At 43.5% G+C, this 27,974-nt stretch overlaps 1 protein-coding gene and 1 pseudogene across 3 annotated transcripts; both read left to right on the forward strand.

Moving 5' to 3' along the window:
• The first annotated feature begins 86 nt into the window (after positions 1–86).
• On the forward strand, positions 87–27,763 carry ZSCAN4 (zinc finger and SCAN domain containing 4). 3 transcript variants are annotated; one of them, NM_001384833.1, is made up of 7 exons: positions 87–345; positions 429–493; positions 8,595–8,741; positions 18,856–19,178; positions 24,652–25,152; positions 26,525–26,690; positions 26,777–27,755. In NM_001384833.1, the coding sequence occupies exons 5-7, from the start codon at positions 24,757–24,759 to the stop codon at positions 27,514–27,516; spliced, it is 1,302 nt and encodes a 433-aa protein (NP_001371762.1). In that variant the 5' UTR covers positions 87–345; positions 429–493; positions 8,595–8,741; positions 18,856–19,178; positions 24,652–24,756; the 3' UTR covers positions 27,517–27,755. The 3 variants fall into 3 exon arrangements, with proteins under 3 accessions (NP_001371762.1, XP_016881947.1, NP_689890.1); XM_017026458.1 differs by lacking the exons at positions 87–345; positions 429–493 and having other exon boundaries at positions 8,073–8,741; positions 26,777–27,763; NM_152677.4 differs by lacking the exons at positions 87–345; positions 429–493; positions 8,595–8,741 and adding an exon at positions 17,546–17,814 and having other exon boundaries at positions 26,777–27,763.
• On the forward strand, positions 12,903–13,647 carry TPRG1LP1 (tumor protein p63 regulated 1 like pseudogene 1; annotated as a pseudogene).
• Positions 27,764–27,974: the final 211 nt, after the last annotated feature.

Raw genomic sequence — 27,974 nt, forward strand, 5'->3', positions numbered from 1 at the left:
ACATCCTGCCAGACGAGTCCCAAGCCTAACCACCTGACTGCAGGAAATCCCTCCCTTATCAGCAGCTAACCACAACGCCCCACCCCAGTCTACAACAAGCCCAGACCTCTCCCGCCTAGACCTATAATTACCCCAATCTGTAAGCAGGGGTGGACTCCAGCGCTAGCTGGTGTCCCCGTCTACAGGCCTTTGTTCAATAAACCTGTGTTGCCATAGAGCCATCTCCATTCCGTTCCTTCTCCCTTCCTTGCTCTCAGTTCTGAAACCCGGGACGACGCTTGGGTTCACTTGGAGGAATCCCTTTTTGCAACCTGGGAAGCAGTGAGCAGCGGCAGCTCATCCCAGGTGAATTCCCAGATCCTAATTAGACCCTTCACTCCCAGCCCCGTCTTCCTACCACTTTCCCTTTTCTCTCCTTCTTCCACTAGGAGGCTCCAGCAAGGATCACTCCAATTACTGGACATCATATCCAACACCAGTCTCCGATTTCTGGGTGAGTTCCCCCTTTCCCCCTCTGGATTCCTCTCATATTTCCAGAAAAGCCCAGTGCCAGGTGAGAGAACTCCCCAGTCACCACTGGGTAACCCTGACCTGCCTTCTCAGGGGATGTCCTCAGAATGCTCACTGCTCCAACCCCCAAGGGACTGTGAAAAGCTTCAGGGATGCCCCAGCTCTTCTCCATCCCTCCTCATGATTGGAATCAGGATACTCACCACCCCACACACCTATCTCACCCTCCTGGCCACCAATATGGGGCAGGGCTCCTAAAAACCCCCTCAAGACACCCCTCTCAGATACTCATCCAGAACCTCAAAACCCTGGGCTTGGTGCACTCCATTAAAACCAAATGCCTTATTTTCCTTTGTAATGTGGCTTGGCCCCAATATAAGCTGGACAATGATAGTTGATGGCCGGAAAACAGGACATTGAACTTCCAAATTCAACGTGATCTAAAAAGCTTTCTCCAATGCAATGGTAAATCGTCCGGGGTGCCCTATATTCAGGCCTTTGTTTATCTCTGTTTGTGGTCCTCTCTCTGTCAATCCTGTTCACCCTTTCAAATCCTCCTCTTCAACAAAAGACCCACGAAAACACCTCCTCTTTCGGACAAGCCTTCCTCCTCCGATTTTGACCCAGTCGATGAACCTCTGCCCTTGAACCCCTCCTCACCACCATATCCTCCTCCTTCTCCTTTGGTTCCATCTCCCCCTCTGGCTCCTCCACCCCCTTACCATCATCCTCCATTCTCCCTTCTTTCTCCACTGCATACACAGTCCTGTGCCTAACACCCTCCCGCTGAAGGCCATGCCCACATCCAAAACCCTTTCAGAGTCCTTCCCTTGTGGGAGACGGCAGGGGCTGAAGGCATAGTCTGAGTCCATGTTCCCTTTTCCCTAGCTGACCTCTTCCAAATTGAAAAGAGACTCAGCTCTTTTTCCACAGACCCTGCCTCCTTCTGTAAGAGATTTTTGTACATCACTCAATCTTATGACCTAATCTGGCATGACCTTTATGTCATCCTCTCCTCCCCTCTTACCCCTGAGGACAGGGGACATGTCTGGACAGCTGCTCAGGCTCACACTGATGCTCTCCACCACCAAGATGCAGCTCATAACCCAGTTGGGGCCTTCGTTGTCCCCAGAACTGATCCCAGTGGGATTATCAGCCAACTTCCCCAGACAGGTAAAGGCAAGATCATAAGATAACATGCCTCCTGGCAGGCATGAATAAAGCCACTCTTAAGGTAGTCAACTATGAAAAGATAAAGGAAATTATTCAAGGCCTTGATGAAAATCCTGCTCTTAACCAGCCTGATCAACATGGTGAAACCCTGCCTCTACTAAAAAATTAGCCGGGCATGGTGGTACGCCTCTGTAATCCCAGCCACTCAGGAGGCTGAGGCAGGAGAATCACTTGAACCTGGTAGGTGGAGGTTGCAGTGAGCTGAGATCACTCCACTGCAATCCAGCCTGGGTGACAGAGCGAGACTCCATCTCAAAGAAAAAAAAAAAAAAAAAGGAAAGAAAATCCTGCTCTTTTTCTTTCTCGCCTTTCAGAAGCCATGATTAAATACACCACCTAAAGCCCTCAGGCCAACAAGGGCAGAATCTATCTCCACTTACATTTCATTTCCCAGTCAACCCCTGATATTCAGAAAAAAACTCCAAAGACTGGAAGATGGCCCTCAAAATCTCCAGAGACTTAATCAAAGTGGCCTTCAAAGTCTTTAACAATAGGGAGGAAGAACCGAAAACCCAAAAGTTCAAAAGGTACTAGGCTAAATACCAGGTGCTGGCAGATGCCATACAACAGGGTTCCCAATGCATACAAAAATCCTCAACCTCAGGACAGCCCTCACCAGGAGCCTGTTTTAAGTGCAGCCAACAGGGTCATTGGGCAAAAGCCTGCCCTAATCCCAGGCTGCCCTCAAAACCTTGCCCCATCTGTGGTATCAAGGGACACTGGAAGTCAGACTGTGCTCAGCAAGACGCTTCATCCTGCTTGACCACCTCTAACTCAAACAGGTCCCCCATTCCAGATCCCAGTCTGGCAAGCATTCTTGGCCTGGCCACTGAAGACTGACAGGATCACCCACTACCATCACCACCTTAGAACGCAGGGTAACACTGTCAGTCTCTGGTAAGCTCATGTCTTTCCTGTTGGATACTGGGCAACATACTCAGTTCTACCAGAATATTCTGGACCTCTCCTCAGTTCTTCCATCACTATTTTAGGAGTTGATGGAATACCCTCTAAACATAAACAGACTGGCCCCCTATTATGTAACCTAGTCAACACTTGCTTCACCCACTCATTCCTGGTCATCCCTCAATGTCCCACCCCTATTTTGGGACTGAATATATTAATCAATTCCAGTTTTCCATAGAATTTACCCCCTGTCATTCTACCCCTTTTATTTTACTCTGTCAACTGGACACTTCCCTCTCCTCTCCCTCATCTTCCTTATCCAATTTGCTAGCCTCTGTCAACCCCAAGGTTTGCGATGTTTCCAAGCCAACAATAGCAGCATACCACACCCCAGACAAAATAACCTTTCAAAACCCTTCTACATTCCTTTGTCAGCCCAGTACCTCCTTAGCCCAGCTGGCCTCAGAGACCTCAAACTCATTCGTTGGAAATTCCTGCAAGCCCAAATTCTCAAGCCTGTTAAATCTCTCCACAACACCCCTATCCTGGCCATCTGGAAAGCTGATGGGTCCAACTACCTGGATTTTTTATTTATTAACCAGGCAGTGGTGCCCATCCATCTGGTGGCCCCCAATCCCTACACTTTACTTTCCCATATCCCCCCACCTCCACCACTCATTTATCTGTATTGGACTTGAAGGACACCTTTTTTCACCATCCCCTTGGATCCAGCCTCCCAAAGCCTTTTTGCTTTCACCTGGACAGATCCTGATACTCACACATCCGCACAGCTAACATGGACTATATTCCCACAGGGGGGCTGGAATAGCCCCTGCTTATTTGGACAGGCCCTCACCAGGGACCTGGCTAAACTTCCCCTTGCTCCTAGCACCCTCCTCCAATACATCAATAACACCCTTCTCTGTAGCCCCTCCCTTAACCTATCTATCCATCCAACACATCATTCAGCTTCTAAACTTTCTCCATTCTTGGGGATATTAGGTCTCACTCACAAAGGCTCAAGTAACCCAACCCCAGGTTACCTACCTTGGACTTATCCTAATCCCTAATATTCAGGCCATACCAACCCAATGGAAGAAGCTAATCCGGGATATGCCCCTTTCTCATACAAAGAACCTCCTTTCCTTCTTGAGCCTTGTGGGATACTTCTGGCTATGGATTCCCAACTTGCTGACCAAGCTGCTGTACACCACATCACGTGGGCCCATCCTAGAACACCTGGATCCAGTCTGTACCATTGACTCCCAGTTCAAAAAACTGAAAAATGCCCTTTCAATGTCGCCAGCACTGGGACTACCCAACCCCAACAAGCCCTTTACTCTGTATGTTCATTCTAACCAAGGCCTTGTTCTTGGGCTACTCTGTCAAACATTCAGCGGTACCCCACAAGCCATTGTATATCTCTCAAAACAACTGAACTCAGTCATCTAAGGTTGGCCACCCTGTTTAAGGATCTTATGTGTGTCTATGCTGCTGGCCTCAGAAGCTCAAAAACTCACCCTCTATCAATACATTACCATTGCACCTTCTCATAACCTACAGGAACTCATGAGTCATTGCTCCCTTCTTTCCCTCCTGCTATCTTACTTACAACAAACACACACCTCCTACATAAACAACCTTCTAATCACCTACCAAAGATGTAAAGTTCTCAACCCAGCCACCCTCTTCCCTATAAGGACCTTTGACTCTGAACTCTGTCACTCCTGCTTGGACTTTTTAGATTCCCTTTCCTTCCCTTTCCGACACATATCAGAGACCCCCTTACAGGGGACACCTACATGGTTCATTGATGGGAGCTCCTTTAAAGAGCCATGTCTTGCAGCAGGCTACACCATCGTTGCCAAACACAAGCTCCTAGAGTCCAATACTGTCGCATCCCCTACCACCTCCTAACAGGCAGAATTAGTCGACCTAACTAGGGCCCTCACCCTAGCAATAGGAAAAAGGGTCAATATTTACACTAACTGTAAGTATGCATACCACATTCTACACTCCCAAGCCTTAATCTCACAGGAAAGAGCTTTTCTTAGTACCAAAGGGACCTGCATAGTAAATGGCAAACTGATACACAGGTTGCTGGAGGTAGCTAAACTACCATTAGAGGCCACCATTATCCATTGCAATGGACACCAGAGAGCTACAGATGCCATAACCAAGGGAAACATTATGGCAGACTCAGCAGCCTGGCAGGTGGCCCACAACATCCCATCACTGTTGTCCATTTTCCCAGCAGACATCCCTCATACACCCAGGAGGAACAAGTCAAACTAACACTGGGGCTACCCAAAGGGAAGGCTGATGTTATCTTGACACAAACTCATCCTGCCCAAATCTCAAGAACTCTCTATTCCCTCCCACATCCACAACCACTTCCATGCTGGTTATTACCACATACCCCAGTTTTTAAAAACTTACACACACTCCACCACCATGACAACCAACCTTGAATGTTTAACCAGTCTGCCCAGTTTGTGGTCAGACTTCCCCTGAAGGGGCTCTTAAACCACCTCCTTTCTCCACTCATCAGGCATGAGGCCATTTCCCAGAACAGGACTGGCAAGTTGACTTCACCCATATACCCCCTGTAAAAAAAGGAAAGGGCCAACTACAGCCTGGGAAAAATATTTGTGAAACCTCTATCTAATAAATGATGAGTATTCAGAATACGTAAAACATCCCTACAAATAGCATAAACAACACAATTTAAAAATAGGCAAAAGTTCAAGACCAGCCTGGGCAACATGGCAAAACACTGTTTCTACAAAAATTAGCTAATAAGCTGGGCATGGTGGTGTGTGCCTGTGGCCCCAGCTACTTGGGAGGCTGAGATGGAAGGATCACTGATTCCAGGGAGGTCGAAGCTTCAGTGAGCTATGATCAAATCACTGCACTCCAGCCTGGGCAACAGGGTGAGATATCATAGCTGTAATTCCAACGCTTTGGGGGGCTGAGGAAGGCGGATCACTTGAGGACAGGAGTTCAACATCAGCCTGGCCAACATGGTGAAACCTCGTCTCTAGTAAAAATACAAAAATTATCCGGGAGTGTCCAGGAGTGGTGGCAGGCACCTGTAATCCCAGCTACTCAAGAGGCTGAGGCAGGAGAATTGCTTGAACCCGGGAGGCAGAGGTTGCAGTCAGCTGAGATCGCGCCACTGTACTCCAGCCTGGGCAACAAGAGTGAAACTCCGTCTGCCCTCCGTCTGTCTGCAACAGAGCTAGACTCCATGTCAAAAAAAAAAAAAAGGCAAAATATTTGAACACATTTTTCACTAAAGATGATATATGAATGGTATATAAATGCATGAAAATAAGTTCAGAATTATTACTATTTAAGGAACTACAAATGAAAACCACAATGAGATACCACTACATACTCATTTTGATGAGTAACATTAACCGAATGATCACACCTAGCTGTTGAAGGTATGAAATAAACTGGAGCTCTCATACATTGCTGGTGGAAATGCAAAATAAATAAATTTGGAAAACACTGTAGCCGTTATTAAAGTTAGTTGTCCACTTATCATTTGATAAATTAATCTCATTCCTAAGTATAACCTCAAGAGATGGAAACGTGTCCATAGAAATACTTGTATAATCATTCCTCAGTATCCATGGGGGACTGATTCCAGGACCCCCAAGGATACCAAAACCTGAAGATGTTCTAGTCTCTTATATAATATGATGTGGTATTTGCATATAACCTGTGTATATCCTCCCACATAATTTAAATTATAATTTAAATTACTTATAATACCTAATACAATGCAAATGCTGTTTAAATAGTTGCTATACATTGTCACCTAATACAGTGTAAATGCTGTTTAAATAGCTGCTACACAATAGTTGTATTGTTTAGGGAGTAATGACCCAAAAAAGGTCTGTGCATGTTCAGTACAGATGCAATTTTTCTTCCAAATATTCAATTTGCAGTGGGTTGAATCTATAGATGCAGAACCCATGGATATAGAAAGCCAACTGATTTTGCGTGTTATCAACAATTTTCTTCAAAGCTAAAGACTGGAAAACAAAAACAAATGTCTATGCACATCTGAATGGGTAACTGTGTTACATTTATAAATAGAATATTCCTCATAAATGTCAAGGAGGGAAAAAAACATTAATCTGAATCTCAAAAGCACAAGTGAAGGAACCAAACTCAGAGGTCTATACAGAGTAAAATTTCTTTCAGATAAAAATCTAGAAATGGTAAAACTCAAGTGGCAAAATGCAAATGAGTGATCCTCAGATCTGGGCCTAGGAGGAAGGGGCGGACTGCAAAGGGCAGAAGAGTACATAGGGTGAGGAGAACCTTCTCTATCAGGATTGTGGTAGTGGTTACATGCTGTTTATATTTGTCAGCACTCATCAAATTATACACTGGAAATTGGGGATCATCCTATTTGTATTATACTGCACTAAATTTGTTTAAGGAAAATAATAATACACACCAAAAATATTCACGGCTCAAGAAGTAATATACTTCCTGCCGGGTGCAGTGGCTCAGGCCTGTAATCCCAGCACTTTGGGAGGCCGAGGCAGGTAGATCACCTGAGATCAGGAGTTCAAGACTAGCTTGGCCAACATGGCGAAACCCCGTCCCTACTAAAAAGGCAAAAATTAGCTAGGCATGGTGGCACGTGCCTGTAATCCCAGCTACTTGGGAGGCTGAGGCAGGAGAATCACTTGAACCCAGAAGACAGAAGTTGCAGTGTACCAATATCATGCCATTGCACTCCAGCCTGGGCAGCAGAGTGAGACTGTGTCTCAAAAAAAAAAAAAAAAAAAAGAAGTAATATATTCCCAAATTGCTCTCAAAAATACTCTTCCTTAATCTTATAAAGAACATCTGCAAAATCCTAGAGTAAATACAATAACTCATGGTCCATTATTAAAATATTTTCGGGACCAGAAACCAAAGGAGGATGGTCACTGTCTGCACATATAGTCAATTATATTGAAAGTCCTGTCTCATGCAATTAGGTGAGACAAGAAATATATAATCTGTAAAGAAGAAAGAAAGCTAAGTTCCTCGCCCCCTTAAAATATATCTTAAATGTCATTTTCACTGTAAGTCCTACTATGAACACCTGATTTACTGTTTCACCCCATCCTTACCAACTTTACTTCTCAGCTGTATCCTGCTCTATAGGACCCATCATTTTCTAATACACTATCAGCCGAATAACATGGGTGCTTTGCTTACTGCTTACTGTCTGTTTCTATCAACTAAGTCTAAGTTCCATGTAGGCAATTTTCTTTTTAATTTTGTGTGTTGATATACCCCATATAATGAAAAAATGACCTGACCCACAAAAAATATGCAATAATTTTTTTTGAGGGGCAGAGCCTTGCTATGTTGTCCAGGCTGGAGTTCAGTGGCATGATCACAGCTAACAGCAGCCTCGAACTCTCAAAACTCTTGGGTTCAAAGGATCCTCCTGCTTCTGCCTCCCAAAGTGCTGGTATTGCAAGTGGGAGCCGCTGCACCTGGTCTCAATAAATAGTTTTTGAAACACTGAAGAAATATGACATACCAATTTCCTATTCATTTTTACCTCTCCAGAAATTCTGTCTAATTCATTCACTGTCTCTACCTTCAAGTTACCTTTGTTCTATGGGATGACTAAAAAACTCACACACAGCTCTATATTCTGCTACCAAAACCTTCAAAGCGGCCAGGAATCCAGCAGAGCCATATTCTCACCTTCATTCTCTTTCTCCTTAGATCTTGCTGTCCTCTGCTTACCTACCCTACAGATCAATTTTATTTTTACTTTTTCATTTTTTCCTACATAGGGTGCTCCTCAGCTACTTCTGTCATTCCTATTAGATATCTTTATGATTCACCATTAATAGTTTCAGTAATATACACAATACTCAAATGTTCTTCGCAAATAACCTCCATTCTCCTTACAGATGGTCGCTGCAATTACAGGTGAAGTGATAACCACTTCCCAGCAAAAAGGTGAGATCAGGGAGTTCCAAATCTTTATCTCAGGTTCAGATGTCCTTTCCACACCTGTACAGATGCCGTCACTCCATCATTCTGACACCAGATGCCAAGTGAGTAACTCATGCTTTTCAAGTAAGTTTCAGGTCCTTAGATGGAAACTATCTCAGAAAATTCAGTATTAATTGTTCTCTGTAAAACATTTCTGGGTTTGGAACACGAAAGAGTTTATATAGCAGGAAGGTCATTTGCTGAGAAAACTAGACACACATAGCATCCTGTCTATATGCCACAGATAAAGACTTGATGCTACAGACATGTTAAGAACAGTTAGATGACAATGGTAAGCTCTTGGTACTGTGCAGATACCTGGTGTCTGTGAGAGAGGTGCTGATATGTGCATTTCTTCTGTGAAACAGCAGGTTGTGCAAACTGGAATCTGTAATGTCTCCACATTCTGTCATCAGCAGAAGACTCTGAACATTTTTCTACCGTTTAAATGAGTCTCAATTATCCAATTTATAATAATGCAAATTTTACTTACAGATAAATATGGGGGAGTAGAGGAGGGTTGTGAGTTTCAGCCATGAAAAATTCATGGAGCTTAAAAATTCCTAAGTATCTCACCCTGCAAACAGATAATTATATTTCTAAAAGTGTCTTGACATTCTCATTCTCATGTACTCACAGTACTCTTCTCTATCCTCAAAGTTTCTGAATTGCTTCTCTGTTCCTGTCTCCTCTGTTATTCTGCCTCCCTCCTCCCTTCCTTGCCTAGTTTAAGTGGATTTTTAGCAAACAAAAGTGTTGACTAGAGGCTGTGAGTGAAGGGCATTTTTACCTCCCCTGGCCCCCAGTGTAGATTCCTCTTCTGTCTACACAGAATCCTTCAGATCAGGATAAAATTGAGCCTTCCTTACTAGTTACTACGATTTTTGAAGAATTGGTGTGATTGATAACCACAGCAACAGTGTTTGGACTTTAGAGAAACTTTATTCATGCCCACACTATGTCTACTGACCTACATTTTGTTACTTAAATTCATTTTAAGATTTCTCTTCCAAAAGTTTTCCAGTTATTCTCCTCTTTTGATTCATTGATCCCCTATATTTTTATTTTACCAGTAATTTCATAACTTCTCTTAATATTAAAATATTTTAATGAATATTTGGAATAAACGTATGTGTCTATGGTGAATACTCACTGGGACACACTATACCCCTCCTTCTTCCACAACCTCAACCTAAGGAAGGAACACTGTCTACAAGTGGTGAGGATCCTTCCAGATAGATTTCCATTAATTTACATAAATTTTGCAAGATCTCCCTTAACTCACCTCTGCTTGACTTACTGCTGAGTAAATTCTTTCTCCATATTCCCTTCATGTAACGTGCTAATCAGTGACCATAAATCACACATGATTGTTACTGGTAGAATCAATGCTTTCAACTCCAACACGTCTGTCTCCACAGGTTGATGTATATATTTATCAACAGGGAGTTTTCTCCTCCCAAAAGTAATGCCATTTGCTCTATTTATTCAATGGCATAAGTGGTTTACTGTAATAAAAACTACTAAACTATAATCACAAAAAGGAAAACTTTTTATTTTTATAAAGCCTAAATAAAATGTGCCAGAAACAAAAATTAGAGATTCTTTAAAAATGCTATTGAGGTAAAAGTGAGTGATAAAAGTAGACCTGTATAAATACAAGTCTGTGAATATTCTGTACTCAGAATTTTGACATCTTTAAGTGTTTTAGCTTACTTTAAAGAACTACCATGCTGGGCGCGGTGGCTCACGCCTGTAACCCCAGCACTTTGGGAGGCTGAGGTGGGCAGAAAATCTGAGGTCAGGAGTTCAAGACCAGCCTGGCCAACATGATAAAACCCGTCTCTACTAAAAATAAAAAAATTAGCTGGATGTGGTGGTGCACGCCTGTAGTCCCAGCTACTCAGGAGGCTGAGGCAGGGGAATCACTTGAACCTGGAAGGCAGAGGCTGCAGTGAGCTGAGATTGCACCACTACACTCCAGCCTGGCCAACAGAGCGAGACTCTGTCTCAAAAAAAAAAAAAGGAAAAGAAAAAAAGAACTGCCAATTGTAAATTTGTAAATCATGTTTAATTATAGTTTATGATAGAAAATAAAAGAAACATAAAATTTCTTACAGAAGAATTTAACCCATAACAAAGTTTGAGCAAAGTAATACAAGCTACAATTAAAATAAGTCATTTCAATTTCATTTGAATGTGAGCCAAACATTTTATGTTTTTATTTTTTTCTCAGGATTATATCTTTTTATATGTTGTATTTTTTTCTTTTATCTGGCTATTAACAATAGTAAAGTGATTGATAACTTTCTCTTTTACATTCTATGTATTTAAATATCTTATTTAGATTATTTTAATTTGCAATTATTTTTCATTAATATTTCATTTTATTAAAAATTGCCTTTTTTCAGTGTTTACATATTAATGGCTTACTTATCCAAGATTGTAAAAATATACAAATATTTTTACCGCTGAGAGATTTGGTTTTTTGTTTGTCTGTTTTTGTTTTTTGAGAGGGAGTCTCACTCTATTGCCCAGACTGGAGTGCAGTGGCACAATGTCAGCTCACTGCAGCCTCCTCCTCCTGGTTCAAGTGATTCTCCTGCCTCAGCCTCCCATGAAACTGGGACTACAGGCTTGAGCCACCACGCCCAGCTAATTTTCGTATTTTTAATAGAGATGGGTTTCACCATGTTGGCCAGGCTGGTCTTGAACTACTGACCTCAAGTGATCCACCTGCCTTGGCCTCCCAAAGTGTTGAGATTACAGGCGTGAGTCACTACACCCAGCCTAAGACTATTCTTTACTTTGGGTTTTTTGTTGTTGTTGTTGTTTAACAGGCTGTCATTTGTCACCCAGGCTGGAGTAGAGTGGCACGATCTCAGCTCACTGCAGCCTCAACCTCCTGGGTTCAAGAGATCCTCCTGCCTCAGCCCCTTTTCTGCCCCTCACCCCCCACCCCCAATAGCTGGAACTACGGACGTACCACCACTTCCAGCTAATTTTTGTACTTTTTGTAGAGACTGGATTTCATCATGTTTCCCAGGCTGTCTCCAACTCCTGAAATCAAGTGATCCGCCCGCCTCGGCCTCCCACAGTGCTGGGATTACAGGTGTGAGCCACCGCACCCGGGATTGTTATTCTTCACTTTGAATCCCACATGTTATTTAAAGCTAAGACCTGAGGCAAAAAAAAATCACTTCTATATTTCAACTAATACTATTTTATTACTAGGTAATAAGTCCCAATATTTACATTTATGTACACATACACACACATTTCCTTTCTATACCATTAAGATAATGGTAGACCTTTATGTCAGGAAAATGCTATAGGCTGGGGGCGAGTGGCTCACGCCTGTAATCCCAGCACTTTGGGAGGCCGAGGCGGGAGGATCACTTGAGCCTAGGAGTTCGAGGCCAGTCTGCACAACGTGGTAAAACCATGTCTCTAAAAAAAAAAAAAAAAAAAAAAAAAAATTAGCTGGGCGTGGTATCATGAGCCTGTAATCCCAGCTACTTTCAGCTACTCGGGAGGCTGAGGTGGGAGGATTTCTTGAGCCTGGGAGGCAAAGGTTGCAGTGAGCCCAGATCCCACCACTGTACTGCAGCCTGGGTGACAAGAGTGACAACCTGTCTCAAAAAAAAAAAAAAAAAAAAGCTATTGGTAATTGAATTTATCTTTATTGAACAAATCCTCTTCATTGCATGCTTTAAATTTTGATTTGTTTAAATTTTATTGAATTGTAATAAAACGATTTTGAAATTACTAGAGAAGCCCAGGCGCTGTGGCTCACGCCTGTAATCCCACCACTGTGGGAGGCCAAGGCAGGCGGATCACCTGATGTCAAGAGTTCGAGACCAGCCTGACCAACATGGTGAAACCCCGTCTCTACTAAAAACACCAAAAAACAATTAGCCGGGCTAGCTGAAGGCACCTGTAGTCCCAGCTACTCAGGAGGCTGAGGCAGGAGAATGGCTTGAACCCGGGAGGCGGAGGTTGCAGTAAGCAGAGATCGTGCCATTGCAGTACAGCCTGGGCGACAGAGAGAGTCTCCGTCAAAAAAGAAAAAGAAGAGAAAAGAAAAAGAGAAAGGAAGGAAGGGAGGAAGGGAGGAAGGGAGGACGAGAGGAAGGGAGGAAGGGAGGGAGGGAAAAGAAATTCCTGGGCAGATGAAAGTGAGGGGTCGGGGGTCGGGGTCGGGCGCGGCGATGCCGCAGCTGCGGGGCTCGGTGGACTCGGCGAGCAAGAGCCCCAGGACGCTGCTGGCGGCGGGCGAGGAGCTGGGGCGCGGCGCGGGGCGGCTCTAGGCGCTGTGGCCGCTCAGCGTCTGGGACCCAGCGCCGCCCAGGTCAGGGAATCCTTGGTGTTCCCGCCCCGCAGCACCCGGGGCGGGGGAGGAGTCGGCGCGGTCGTGCGGCCGTGGAGGACAGCGAGACCCGGGGCTGCGGCTGCAGGCCGAGGGGCCCCTGGGACAGTGAGAAGCAGCGGCGGGAGCTAGTCACGGGGCAGGGAGCGCTCAGCGGTAAAGACGGCTTCATCTGACTCCAGGGCTGGCAGGCGGCCCGGATGGCATGCCGTCTCCTGCGGAGAATTCCAATTTCCCCCTAAATCGCTCAACAAGCGAGAAGGTTTTGGGATTCGAATTCAGTGGGGCAAGCGAAGTCGCCTTTCCTTCTTAAACAGATGGAATCCCTGGTCCACAAACGTACCCTGTGCCAATTTCATACAACACGCTATGGCTGCTGCGGATGAGAACACAGCAACTCTGCCAGATGAAAAGCTTCAAGGCTCTGTGAATCCAAGGTCAAAAACGCCAAAAAGGAAAGTCCTTTTCCAGGACAAGCGCACGCGTGCTGGTCGTGGAGCGCCCCCTCCTCATGGAGACCGGCCTGGGATTGATGTCCTTCATTAACAATGAGGCTAAACTGGGCTATTCCATGACTGACCAGGGGCAAAATAGGCTTTTAGCCAGCGGCATTCTGGGAGCTCTCCCCACTAAGAAGGCCAAGGGATGTGGGGTCTGAGAGCCTGGCAGTCCTCATGCAAAGCCGCTGCTGGCTGGAAGCATAGGGGTCTTTTACCTTTTGGGATCTCTGCACGATTAGAATAGTAAAGTGGATAGTAATTGCATATTGCACTCTGCTAATGCAAGCTACAGACAAAAGCAAAAAGAATCTAGCTGCCACTGTGCTGCTAGGATTCCATTTTCTGTAACTTCAGTTCTGATACTTTTCCTGGAGTGTATCTACTTGGCTTCTGGCGGTTCTTCCCATCCCAGCCACTCCAGCAGGCTAAATCCCGCAGCACACCCCTTACCATTTGTGTAGGCTGCTAAATACAGGGAGGCACCTGGTATCTCCAGTGTCTGCAGACACAAATATGTTTACACTTGGTGTCAAATTTTGTATTTTAAATTTTAATACTTTTTTTTTTAAAGCTCATACAAAAGCAGCCAGCAGACAAGTTCACTGACATCAGTCTGCACCTGTCAGCTCCTGGGTGAATCATTGTTCTTTTGTAAATGTGTGTTTGACCTAAAGTCACCCTTTTTCTAAAATTAATCCAAGGCCGGGCGCGGTGGCTCACTCCTGTAATCCCAACACTTTGGGAGGCTGAGGCGGGTGGATCACCAGATCAGGAGTTCGAGACCAGCCTGACCAAAATGGAGAAACCCCATCTCTACTAAAAATACAAAATAAGCTGGGCAGCCCACGTCAGTAATCCCAGCTACTCCGGAGGCTGAGGCAGGAGAATTGCTTGAACCCGGGAGGTGGAGGTTGTGGTAAACCGAGATCGTGCCACTGCACTCCAGCCTGGGCAACAAGAGTGAAACTCCGTCTCAATAATAATACTGATACTTAAAATATCTTTGCGAGGCCCAAGTAGGTTTACAGAAAATCATCTTAGGACAATTTTTTAATTTGAGAAAGTCACTTTGGCAGTTCTTTGCACACAATTTTGACAAGTGTATGTATTATAAGTTGTATTGTATTCATATTTAAAAGGAAATTGGGTAGTTTGCCTTTTGAAGAATGCGCTTTTTAAAAAGGAACCATATCAGATCCTTATGAAGCAGCCGATGCCTGCCATGGTTCCTACAGGTCCTGTACAGACTCGGGGCTTTGTCCAAGTCTCCACTAAACATGCTAAGCTTCGATGCGCCCTGGAGAATTTCCACGGGGTGATCCACGCACCTCCATGAGATCCTGCAGCTTGCTTGTATGACTGGAAGCATTGGATAAGCTTCGCGTGCTGGCTCTCCAGTTCTTTCCTTCTCTTTACGACTGTTGTAGCTTTTAGCTAATGGAGTGGTGCGGTCCAAGTGCGGCCACCTACGGGAGGTGCAGGGCTGCCTCGGAAGCTGGCAGGGGACCCCAGTCTTTGCGTTCATAAAGACATTTAGAACCGGATGAATGTTGTTCCTTTTTTGAAGTTGTTATTAAAGTAGGTGCAACAACCAAAAATCAATAAATAATAAATAAATTGACTAAATATTTTTTCTCAAAAAAAAAAAAAAAAGAAAAGAAAGTCACCAGGTGTGGTGGCTCACGCCTGTAATCCCAGCACCTGGGGAGGCTGAGGTGGGCGGATCACCTGAGATCAGGAGTTTGAGACTATCCTGGCCAACATGGTGAAACCCCGTCTCTACTAAAATACAAAAATTAGCCGGGTGTGGTGGCGCATGCCTTTAATCACAGCTACTCTGGGTGCGGAAGTTGCAGTGAGCCAAGATCGTGCCACTGCACTCCAGCCTGGGCGACAGAGCAAGACTTTGTCTCGAAAAAAATAGAAAGTTAACAGTTTTGTTTATTTTCCTACCAGGTTTTTATTATTATTATTATTATTCTAATTGAAATCACTGTTTCCTACATACTGAGGCGGATTGGCTTTGTCTTCTTGGAAACAAAGGTTATTTTCCTCACTCACACTGGAGCGGGGATACTCACCAGACACAAGTTGAGATGATGCTGGATGTAAACGGGTCATCTATTTTTACCAAAGGCAGCACTACCTGCCTTCCCAATTGATCAGAAAAGCATTTGATAGTTGTCTTTGTAATATCCTTATTTGATTAAATTACTATGTGGATTTCACATTTATTTTTATTGTTTTGTGCCTGTTTATTCTATGCCTAAGTTGGGGTATCACCAGGTCATTTCCTCCACCATCTGTGTTTCCCCAAGGATAAATCCTCCTGCTCATGCCCTTCACTCCTCCATTAGCCCATTCCCTAGAAAGCTGCTGGTTTTACACAGTGGCTGTGTGTCTTTGCCTTCTTAATGTAGCATTCAGAGTCCCACTCTGGAGCCAGGTATCAAATCCTAGCCCAGCCACTTACAGGCTATGTAGCACTGGCCAAGGTACTGAACTTCTCTGTGCCTCTGTTATTTTGATGTTAAAATGGAGTTATTTAGGATCTACTTTACAGGACTGTTGTGATGGAAATGGGTTAACATACAGAAAGCACTGAGAACAGAGTCAAATATGCCCTGACTGCTTAAAGGTTAGTTATTATGATCCCTGATGCTATTACTACTCTTACTGATATCATCGTGCCTCAGGTCTAACTGCTCCCAGAGTTACACACCAGCATGTCCAACAGCTGGCTGTATATCTGAACTCAAAAATCCAATAACCTCCTCCAAACAGAAATTGCCAGCTTTTCCCCAAACCTTTTCCTTACAGCTCCTTACAGAGCTCAAGGAACTCCTTGAGACTGCAGAAGCAGACAGGAAATGCTTTCAACCCACCACAAATTAACAACTGGCCTCCAGTGGTACTCACATTGTCTACATTTTTCATTGTTTTTTTTTTGTTTGTTTTTTGTTTGTTTGTTTGTTTGTTTTTGAGACAGAGTCTCACTCTGTCGCCCAGGCTGGAGAGCAGTGGTGCGATCTTGGCTCACTGCAACCTCGGCCTCCCAGGTTCAAGTGATTCTCCTGCCTCAGGCTCCCGAGTACTTGGGATTACAGGTGCCTGCCACCATGCCTGGCTAATTTTTGTATTTTTTTAGTAGAGACGAGGTTTCATCATGTTGGCCAGGCTGGTCTCAAACTCCTGACCTCAGGTGATCCACCCGCCTCGGCCTCCCAAAGTGCTGGGATTACAGGCATGAGCCACTGCGCCCAGCCCATTTTTCATTGTTGTAGCAGAGAAGTATCCCTGCTTCCATCAAGAGCCAATTTTCCTGTCACAGTTGGTTTAATGACATAGTTGGTGACAGGACCTAAACCACCAGTGGAAAATTGGCTCTTGATGGGAGCAGGGATACTTCTCTGTATGGAGTATATGTGGATGAAACTCCTTGGAGAAATGGACTAGTACACAGTCTTATAATGTGAGGATTCAGAACATAATTCCTAATGTGGGGAAGTCAAGCAGACATTTCATCAGTGGAGTACCAGGAGATTCAAACTCTGTACCCAACAGTGATAGGGGGACAATCTAAGCCCCAAGAGGCTGCATGCCTGATGGAGCAGATGAAACACATGGCTGTAATTAGCTCCCACCCCTTCGATACGTTCTCAACTCCACCAAAGCCTCAGCCTGTATGAGGGTGGAAAGTGGGGAGGGAGAGTGCAGGGAAGAAGGCACAGCTTCCACCACACTAGGTGACCAGGCGCTTCTCACCATTTTAACTCCTCCATCTCTCTCAAGCCTCATGTTAAGTCTATCAAACATCATATGCTTTCTCAATATAAAATATGCACCAATTTCTCCCTTTCCACTGATATAATCCTAGTCTCAACCCCTGTCATCTTTTTGATGGATTAGGAATGCCTTCTCTGGGTCCCGGGCCCCCTCTGTTTCACCAGCCTGGAATTGGCACAGGAGTCACAGCATTAGCCTTGCCCTCTGCCACCCTTGTAATTCATAAATCTCTGAAAACTTAAAAGTTTGAGCAAAAGTTTGTCATGTTTCTATGAGTAATTTATAATAAAACTTGATCAGAATTTGTGAGACTAACGTTTGTCTTTATATTTTCCTTTTTTTTTTTTTTTTTTTTGAGACACAGTCTCGCTCTGTCGTCCAGGCTGGAGTGCCGTGGCGTAATCTCGGCTCACTGCAACCTCTGCCTCCTGGATTCAAACAATTCTTCTGCCTCAGCCTCCTGAGTAGCTGGGATTACAGGTGCATGCTACCACGCCCAGATAATTTTTGTATTTTTAATAGAAACCGGGTTTAACCATGTTGGTCAGGCTGGTCTCAAACTCCTGACCTCATGATCCACCTGCCTCGGCCTCCCAAAGTGCTGGGATTACAGGCGCGAGCCACCACACCCAGCCTGTCTTTATATTTTCATTTAATGTGGACCTTGTTACATTTTACCGCAGATTTTGTATTTTTGTGTGTGTTTGTTTGTTTGTTGGTTTTTGAGACAGTCTACCTCTGTCGCCCAGGCTGCAGTGCAGTGGCACAATTTCAGCTCACTGCAACCTCCGCCTCTGTGGTTCAAACAATTCTTCTGCTCAGCCTCCTGAATAGCTGGGACTACAGGCACGCGCCACTACGCCTGGCTAATTTTTGCATTTTTAGTAGAGATGGGGTTTCACCATATTGGCCAGGCTGGTCTCGAACTCTTGACCTCGTGATCCGCCCACCTCGGCCTCCAAAAGTGCTGGGATTACAGGCATGGTTTTTTTTTTGTTCGTTTTGTTTTGTTTTTTTTTTAGAGACTTGGTCTCCTTCCATTTCCCAGGCCAGAGTTCAGTAGGGCGGTCATAATCCACTGTAGCCATGAACTCCCTGGCTCAAACAAGCTACACAGACATGCCACCATGCCTGGCTAACATTTTTAACATTATTTTTGGTAGAGACAGGGTCTTGCTTTGTTGCTCAGGCTAGGGATTCACAGAGTCTTGCTCTGTCTCCCAGGCTGGAATGCAGTGGCGCAATCTTGGCTCACTCTAGCCTCTGCCTCCCAGGTTCAAGTAATTCTCCTGCCTCAGCCTCCCAAGTAGCTGGGATTACAGGTGCCCACCACCATGCCCGGCTAATTTTTGTATTTTTAGTAGAGAAAGGGTTTCACCATGTTGGCCAGGCTGGTCTTGAACTCCTGATCTCAGGTGATCTGCCTGCCTCAGCCTCCCAAAGTGCTGAGATTACAGGTGTGAGCCACTGCACCTAGCCTGCAGAAATATTAATGTGTTTGTTTATGACCTGTTGACCCAGGACCAGTGATGGTATAGAACACTGTATTAGAGACATGGAGCTGGGGCTGGATGAAGATTCCATCAGTAATTCAATCAACAGACAAGTGTTATCCAATCACGTCTTTAAATCAATCACTGACATGGAGCTGGGGCTGGATGAAGATTCCATCAGTAATTCAATCAACAGACAAGTGTTATCCAATCACGTCTTTAAATCAATCACTGATCCCAGCCCCTATAAAAGGGAGCAGCCTTAGGAGGCACATCAGATAAACCCAGTGTGGAAAGCTAGTCACACATCAGCTCAGTGTTCGGCCCGGGATTACCCAGTCAACCAAGGAGGTAAGCTTCCATAATGGAAGGAAAATTTTGTGCCTTTGAGTGTGTATACATTTTGTGTCTTTGAGTGTGTATACATAATTTTGTGTCTTTGAGTGTGTATACATGTGTATGTAGGCATAGCTATTTCAGGAAAATTCCTAACTACAGAGATATGGGGGTCTCCCAGGTGTAGGGAATGGTCTTTTGTTACAACAGCTCTGACCCAAAAGGGCTTGATGTTGTGAACTCTGTATAAAGGCCTGGTGTGACTGAAGATTTTTCTTCAAAAAGTCTATCGTATGACTTTATGTTCTAGTAATTCTTTTTTTTTTTTCGAGACAAGATCTCTATCACCCAGGCTAAAGTTTAGTAGCCCCAATCACAGCTCACTGCAGCTTCAGCCTCCCCAGGCTCAAGTGATCCTTCCACCTTAGCTTCCTGAGCAGCTGGGACCACAGGCGCACACCACCACACCAGGTTAATTTTTCTATTTTTTGTAGAGGCAGGATTTTGCCATGTTGCCCAGTGTGGTCTCAAACTCCTGGCCTCCAGTGATTTGCCCACTTTCAGCCTCCAAAAGTGCTGGGATTACAGATGTGAGCCACTGTGCCCAGCTTAGTAATTCCTTTGTATTGCATTATATGAAATATGTAGCTGGGTGTCATTAGAGATCATAAAGCCCAGGATACAGACCCAGACCTGACGGGTAGCATGCCTGCGTCACAGTTTGTAATTGCCAGACTCCAGATTAGAGCTCCGGTAGCCTTGTTTTGAATTCCCAGGTTCTGGGAAATAAGCCATAATACTTTGCAGTCTTGTCTATGTGGGACGGAGTGCATGTCTCCAAGTGTGAACATGTGGTCTGTGTGTCATAGGGGAGAAAGGGTGGGTAATCCAAAAAGAGAACTTGGAGGGAAGTGAAATGAAGGGGAAGCCATGGGTTCCACAGGAAAAAAAAAAAAAAAGAGAGAGAGAGAGACCAATGTCCCTGGATATAGAGAACCAGCCACAACACCTAAGATGGAGCTTGAGAAGTGTAGAGCTGGCCCAGGAAAGCCTCGTAGGACAAGGACTCAGTGCTTTTCCCTGAGGGCAAAGGGGAGCCATCCAGAGAGTAGAGTGGGGTATGATGTGAGCAGATTAGCATTTTATAAACGTTGACTGGAAGCATTATGACAACTGGGTTAGGGAAAGGCAAGAATGTGTTCCATTGTCTCCTAGGAGATTTTACCAGGATCACCTCTGCCTTATTAACTGATGCGATCAGGGTAGCAGATCTGGTCTAATCAGACCAGATGAGATTAACACAAAGCAGGAAATAACATTAACTAACAGAAATCAGTTAGGTTTTTGTGTGTCCACGTATTACTCCTACCATTTTCTGATTTTATGGCATGAAATTTGCTTTTTTCAAAATTGCACAAATCTTTGAAATGTTAACCATATATAAAATTGGAGAAAAAACACAAAAATAGCAATGATATATTAACAGAAAAGGGATTAAATTCTTTATCCATTCAGGATTTCAAAGGGTGTGTCTCTAGTTGTCCAGATAATCTGATTTGGGATTAGAAATCAATTTCAAGCAATGCAAACTCACTTTTACTTCTGAATCCTAAACATCAGTAGGAAAGGACAGGGAGTAAAAACAGATAAACATAAAATAGTAGCTTTGGTTAAAGCAGTAAAGTTCTAAGGAATGGTAACTGTTAATGGGAAAAAAATTCAAGCAGAAAAGGTGCTAAGAATGTTTCCTAAGGAATGTATCCTTTCACAACACAGTGGGTGTAGCTGGTAGTGGCCTTGCAGATGTCTGTGCCTAATAAGTTTTCAGCCAGAGAAAGGTGTCATTTGTATGGATTCTGGCTTGTCTTTTCTATTTCATTCACTTCTTTCTCTTTTTCTTGTTTTCCCTAGCTTTATTGAGGTATAATTGACAAAGATTGTATATATTTAAGGTGTACAATGTGACACTTCTCTCTCTATATATATGTATACTTTGCAAAATGATTACCACGATCAAGCTAGTTAACATATTCATCACCTCACATAGTTATCTTTTTTTTTTTTTTTTGAGACAGAATCTTGCTCTGTCACCTAAGCTGGAGTACAGTGGCGTAATCTCAGTTCACTACAACCCCCACCTCTCAGGTTCAAGTGATTCTTGTGCCTCAGCCTCTCAAGTAGCTGGGATTACCGGTGCATGCCACCACACCCAACTCATTTTTGAATTTTTAATAGAGGTGGGGTTTCACCATGTTGCCAGGCTGGTCTTGAACTCCTGGCCTCAAGCGATATGCCCACCTCTGCCTCCCAAAGCACTGGGATTACAGGGGTGAGCCAATTATCTTTTTTATATCATGAGAACACTGAAAATCTAGCAAATTTCAAGCATACAATATATATTAGCTATAGCCACCATGCCGTACATCAGATCTCCAGAGCATATTCATTTTTTTTCCCTAGCCTGAGAAGGACATGGTGACATTTAATTAATTAATTTATTTATTTATTTATTTTGAGATGGAGTTTCACTCTGTCGCCCAGGCTGGAGTGCAGTGGCACGATCTCGGCTCACTGCAACCTCCATCTCCTGGGTTCAAGCGATTCTCCTGCCTCAGCCTACCGAGTAGCTGGAATTACAGGTGTGCACCACCACAGCCAGCTAATTTTTGTATTTTTAGTAGAGAAAGGGTTTCACCACGTCTCATCTCAAGTGATACGCCTGTCTCGGCCTCCCAAAGTGCTGGGATTACAGGCGCGAGTCACCGTGCCCGGCCACATATTTATTTTATAAATGAAAGTTTGCCATAGGCATAGTAGCTCACGCCTGTAATCCCAGAAAGGCTAGAGTGAGGAGCAGTCACTTGAGTCCAGGAGTTCAAGACAACCTGGACAAAATAGCGAGACCAAGTCTCGAAAAGAAAATTTTTAAAAAATTAGCTGAGTGTGGTGCGTGCCTGTAGTCCCAGCTACTCAAGACGCTAAGGCAGGAGGATCGCTTGAACCCAGGAGGCTGAGGCTGCAGTGAGCTGTCATGGCACCACTGCACTCTAGCCTGTCTGACAGACGGAGACCCTGTCTCAAAATAAATCAAGTTTGCACCATTTGATCAACATCTTCCCATATGCCCCACCCCATGCCCCTGGCAACCACCCTTCTACTCTCAGTTTCTAATACTTTATTTTCTGATGATGATGATGATTATTATTATTATTATTATTATTGAGACAGAGTTTCTGTGTTGCCTAAGCTGAAGTGCAGTGGCCCAATCTCAACTCACTGCAACCTCTGCTTCCCAAGTTCAACCCATTCTCCTTGCTCAGCCTCCCGAGTAGCTGCGATTACAGGCATGCACCACCACATCTGGCTAATTTTTATATTTTTAGTAGAGACGGGGTTTCGCCATGTTGGCAAGGCTGGTCTTGAACTCCTGGTTTCAAGTGATCTGCCCGCCTCGGCCTCCCAAAGTGTTGGGATTACAGGTGTGAGCCACAGTGAAAAGAGTTTTTTTGTTTTAATTTCAACTGCTTGTGATAACACAATATTACAATATTCAGTTCATTTTGGTTTATTGGCATTGTAATAGACATCTCCCTAAATTCACCTAGGCTAATATTTGGTGAATATTTTATTTTATTTTAGATTCAGGGAGTACATGTGCATGTTTGTTACAAAAGTATTCTGCATATTGGTGGAAATTGGACTTCTAGTGTACCTATTACTTAAATAGTGAACATTGTACCCAATGGGTAATTTTTCAATACCCATTTCCCTCCCAACTCCCCCGCTGGAGTCCCCAGCATCTGTTATTTCCATCCTTATGTCCATGTGTACCCACTGTTTAGCTTCTACTTATAAGTGAGAACATGCGGTATTTGGTTTTCTGTTTCTGAGTTAGTTCACTTAAGATAATGGCCTCCAGCTCCAACTATGTTGCTGCAAAGGACTAATTTCATTCTTTTTTATGGCTGCATAATATTCCATGGTATGTATTTCACATTTTCTTTATCCAGTCAACCACTGGTAGACTCTTAGGTTGGTTCCATGACTTTGCTCCTGTGACTAGTGCTGCAATCAAAATATGAGTGCAGGTGTCTTTTTTTATATAATGATTTCTTTCCTTTTGAGTAGATACTGAGCTGGATCAAATGATGGTTCTATTTTTAGTTCTCTGAGAAATCTCCATACTGTTTTCCATAGAGGTTAACTGATTTGCATCCCCACCAAATTTATTGAATACTCTTTGTAAACAAAATCAAGACTCTATAAATATGTTTGAAATATTTTCTTTCCTTATTTCACTGGTTAGGGAGCAATCCAATGTTTCATAGAGATGATAGCTCAAGCAGAAAACTTTTAACAATAAATTTTGTTGTAACTACTTTATAAAATATTTTTCACATCAAGTTTTTTTTTTTTTTTTTTTTAAGAGTCTCACTCTGTCACCCAGGCAGGAGCTCAGTGGCATGATCCTGGCTCATTGCCACGCCCACTTCCCGGGTTCAAGGGATTCTCCTGCCTCCACCACTGAAGTAGCTGGGTTTACAGGCACGTGCCACCATACCCAGCTAAGTTTTGTGTGTGCGTGTGGCTTTTTTTTTTTTTTTTTTTTTTTTGAGACGGAGTCTTGCTCTGTCAGCCAGGCTGGAGTGCAGTGGCGCAATCTTGACTCACTGCAATCTCCACCTCCCGGGCTCAAGCAATTCTCCCATCTCAGCCTCCTGAGTAGCTAGGACTACAGGTGCATGCCATCATGCCTGGCTGATTTTTGTATTTTTAGTAGAGATGGGGTTTCACCATATTGGTCAGGCTGGTCTCGAAATCCTGACCTCAGGTGATCCACCTGCCTCAGCCTCCCAAAGTGTTGGGATTACAGGCATGAGCAACCACACCCGGCAAGTTTTGTATTTTTAGTAGAGATGGTGCCTCACCATGTTGGCCAGGCTAGTCTCGAACTCCTGACCTCAAGTGATCCGCCCTCCTCGGCCTCCCACAGTTCTGGGATTATAGGAGTGAGCCACTGTGCCCAGCCAAGGATATTTCCTAATAGTTCTAGTTTATTAAGTGCCTTTTTCAGGAATAAACATTGGCATTTAAACATTTTAAATGCATTCATTGAGATGATTTTATTATGTTCTTGTATCCATATCCCGTTAACGAAGTAAATTGCATTGATTTTTGAATTTTAACCCAAACTTCCTGCATTTTGGAAATGAACACCATTTGCGATGTATATGTGAGTAGATTTTATTTTCAAATATTTTGTTTTGGATAATTTTAATGTATTTGTAAAATTTTGTTATCAGGAAGTGCTGACCTCAGTAACTAAAGTGGGTAGTGCTTCCTCTTATATGCTCTGGGAGAGTTTATGTTAAGTTATAATTATTTCTTTGAATTCATCCATAGAGCCATGTAGGCCTAACTTTTTGGTTGATTTGTCTTTAATTATGCCAGTGGTGCAATTAATTACTCATCTCTTTTCTATTTCTAGCTTGCAGTTTTAAAGAATCCACCAACTGTTGAAACAAATCCCTAGAGACACAAGGCAAGAGACTGAATCATCAAAGTAAAGTCTCTCTGAGAATTATTGCTAAGAATGGCTTTAGATCTAAGAACCATATTTCAGTGTGAACCATCCGAGAATAATCTTGGATCAGAAAATTCAGCGTTTCAACAAAGCCAAGGACCTGCTGTTCAGAGAGAAGAAGGGATTTCTGAGTTCTCAAGAATGGTGCTCAATTCATTTCAAGACAGCAATAATTCATATGCAAGGCAGGAATTGCAAAGACTTTATAGGATCTTTCACTCATGGCTGCAACCAGAAAAGCACAGCAAGGATGAAATTATTTCTCTATTAGTCCTGGAGCAGTTTATGATTGGTGGCCACTGCAATGACAAAGCCAGTGTGAAAGAGAAATGGAAATCAAGTGGCAAAAACTTGGAGAGATTCATAGAAGACCTGACTGATGACAGCATAAATCCACCTGCCTTAGTGAGTACAGGGTTCTAACTTCTGGGATGAGAGACAAAGGAAAGTAAGGAATAAATCACAGTCAGTTAGAGTTGTCTGGAAGTTAGAGAAGCTATTGGAGGTCCAGTTATTAGTCAGCTCACACTCTCCCACCATTCTCACAAAGAATAATCTTCAATGTCCTAAGTTCTCAAGAAAAAAAGCAAAAAGGTATATATCTGTTTATTCTGTAGGACATATAGGAGCCAAACATATTGATGTTTGATTAACTTAATTTTAGTCTGCATAATGGCAGACTCTGAGAAATTGACTTTTTGGCATGATATCAGCTCACTGCAACCTATGCCTCCCAGGCACAAGTCATTCTCGTGGCTCAGCCTCCAGAGTAGCTGGGATTACAGGCGTGCTCCACCAAGGCCGGCTAATTTTTGTATTTTTAATAGAGACAGCGTTCCACCATGTTGGCCAGGCGGTCTCGAACTCCTGGCCTCAAGTGATCCGCCTGCCTTGGCCTCCCAAAGTGCTAGGATTACAGGTGTGAGACCAGCCTGAAATTGACATTTAAATGAAGACATCAAGGTTGAGGAAGAAATGTCTTGACAAGAGCTTGTTCTTCTGTCAGGGAACTCTAATCAAGAAAGACATTCTAAAGAAGCAATTACGGTAGATCCTTATTCTCAGAGCCCATATTTGCAAAATTGCTAAAATTTATTTGTAAGCTTAAAATAAATACCTGAGGCATCTTCTCCGTCATTTTCAGATATGTGCAGGTGGTAAAATATTTGATTTACCTTAGGTGCATGTTTCCAGGTGAGGTTGAACAAGGCCACAACCTCACTTCCTATTTTGGTTCCTACAGTGTAAATAAGTGTCCTTTTCACAGTCTATTTAGTGGCACATTTTTTTTTTTGCTTTTTATTGATAACTTTGTTGTTTAAAGTGACACTGAAGTAAAATGCTGAAACACTGTCTAGTCTTCCTAAGTGCAGGAAAGTTGCTATGTATTATGGAGATAATACATGTGTTGGATCCTCTGAGTTCAGGATTAATCAATAATATATATTAAATGGGGTGTCTTTGAACATATACACACATAAAACAAACTCATGTATTGATCAGTTGACAAAAATAATGTAGCCAGAAGCTCACAGGAAACTAACCCTGAATTTTTCCTAGGGGAAATGATTCAGTACTTGTAAATTCAATGTCCATGTGACTTTATTAAACATAAGAGCTTGTAGTAACAAGAATAACACCATCAGAGATGGTGGACAAAATATGTGATAGCCAATACTTGAGGGAGCTTGTGAGAGCCTGTTAAGGACCACTTTTCCAAAAAGTCTTCTGTTACACAACAGATTCAGATACAACAGTGATCTGGCTTTCTTTACAGGTCCACGTCCACATGCAGGGACAGGAAGCTCTCTTTTCTGAGGATATGCCCTTAAGAGATGTCATTGTTCATCTCACAAAACAAGTGAATGCCCAAACCACAAGAGAAGCAAACATGGGGACACCCTCCCAGACTTCCCAAGATACTTCCTTAGAAACAGGACAAGGTAAGTCAGGTGAATCTGCACAACTGAGGAGTGTTCTATGTGGACCCCTTCTTAAGTACAACTTCATTGAGTGTCTATTTTCACAGGATATGAAGATGAACAAGATGGCTGGAACAGTTCTTCGAAAACTACTCGAGTAAATGAAAATATTACTAATCAAGGCAATCAAATAGTTTCCCTAATCATCATCCAGGAAGAGAACGGTCCTAGGCCTGAAGAGGGAGGTGTTTCTTCTGACAACCCATACAACTCAAAAAGAGCAGAGCTAGTCACTGCTAGATCTCAGGAAGGGTCCATAAATGGAATCACTTTCCAAGGTGTCCCTATGGTGATGGGAGCAGGGTGTATCTCTCAACCAGAGCAGTCCTCCCCTGAGTCTGCCCTTACCCACCAGAGCAATGAGGGAAATTCCACATGTGAGGTACATCAGAAAGGATCCCATGGAGTCCAAAAATCATACAAATGTGAAGAATGCCCCAAGGTCTTTAAGTATCTCTGTCACTTATTAGCTCACCAGAGAAGACACAGGAATGAGAGGCCATTTGTTTGTCCCGAGTGTCAAAAAGGCTTCTTCCAGATATCAGACCTACGGGTGCATCAGATAATTCACACAGGAAAGAAGCCTTTCACATGCAGCATGTGTAAAAAGTCCTTCAGCCACAAAACCAACCTGCGGTCTCATGAGAGAATCCACACAGGAGAAAAGCCTTATACATGTCCCTTTTGTAAGACAAGCTACCGCCAGTCATCCACATACCACCGCCATATGAGGACTCATGAGAAAATTACCCTGCCAAGTGTTCCCTCCACACCAGAAGCTTCCTAAGCTGCTGGTCTGATAATGTGTATAAATATGTATGCAAGTATGTATATTCCTATAGTATTTATCTACTTAGGATATAAGATATAATCTCCTGATTATGCTTTCAATTTATTGTCTTGCTTCATTAAAATGTAAGGCTAAGGAGAGCATGGAATTTGTCAGTTTTGTTCACTAAAGTATTCCAAGTGGTTGGGAAAGTGGAACATTTCCAAGAACCAATAAATTTCTGTTGAATAAATGAATGAATCCATAATGTTGATATCCTTTTTTAAAAAAAGAGATGGGGCCGGCCGCAGTGGTTCGGCCTCCCAAAGTGCTGGGATTACAAGCGTGAGTGACCGTGCCCGGCTTTTTTTTTTTTTTCTGAGTCAGAGTCTTGATCTGTCGCTCAGACTGGAGTGCCGTGGTGTGATCTTGGCTCACTGCAACCTCCACTTGGAGGTCCAAAATTAATCATAGAC

Source organism: Homo sapiens, chromosome 19 (assembly GCF_000001405.40).
Source record: "Homo sapiens chromosome 19, GRCh38.p14 Primary Assembly".
Taxonomy (NCBI): domain Eukaryota; kingdom Metazoa; phylum Chordata; class Mammalia; order Primates; family Hominidae; genus Homo; species Homo sapiens.

Excerpts from the sequence above, each read along its gene's own strand:
- ZSCAN4 (NM_001384833.1), top strand. The coding sequence starts at position 24,757 with ATGGCTTTAGATCTAAGAACCATATTTCAGTGTGAACCATCCGAGAAT. Across the intron at positions 25,153-26,524 it reads GCATAAATCCACCTGCCTTA|GTCCACGTCCACATGCAGGG; the intron begins GTGAGTACAGGG and ends CTTTCTTTACAG. Across the intron at positions 26,691-26,776 it reads TTCCTTAGAAACAGGACAAG|GATATGAAGATGAACAAGAT; the intron begins GTAAGTCAGGTG and ends CTATTTTCACAG.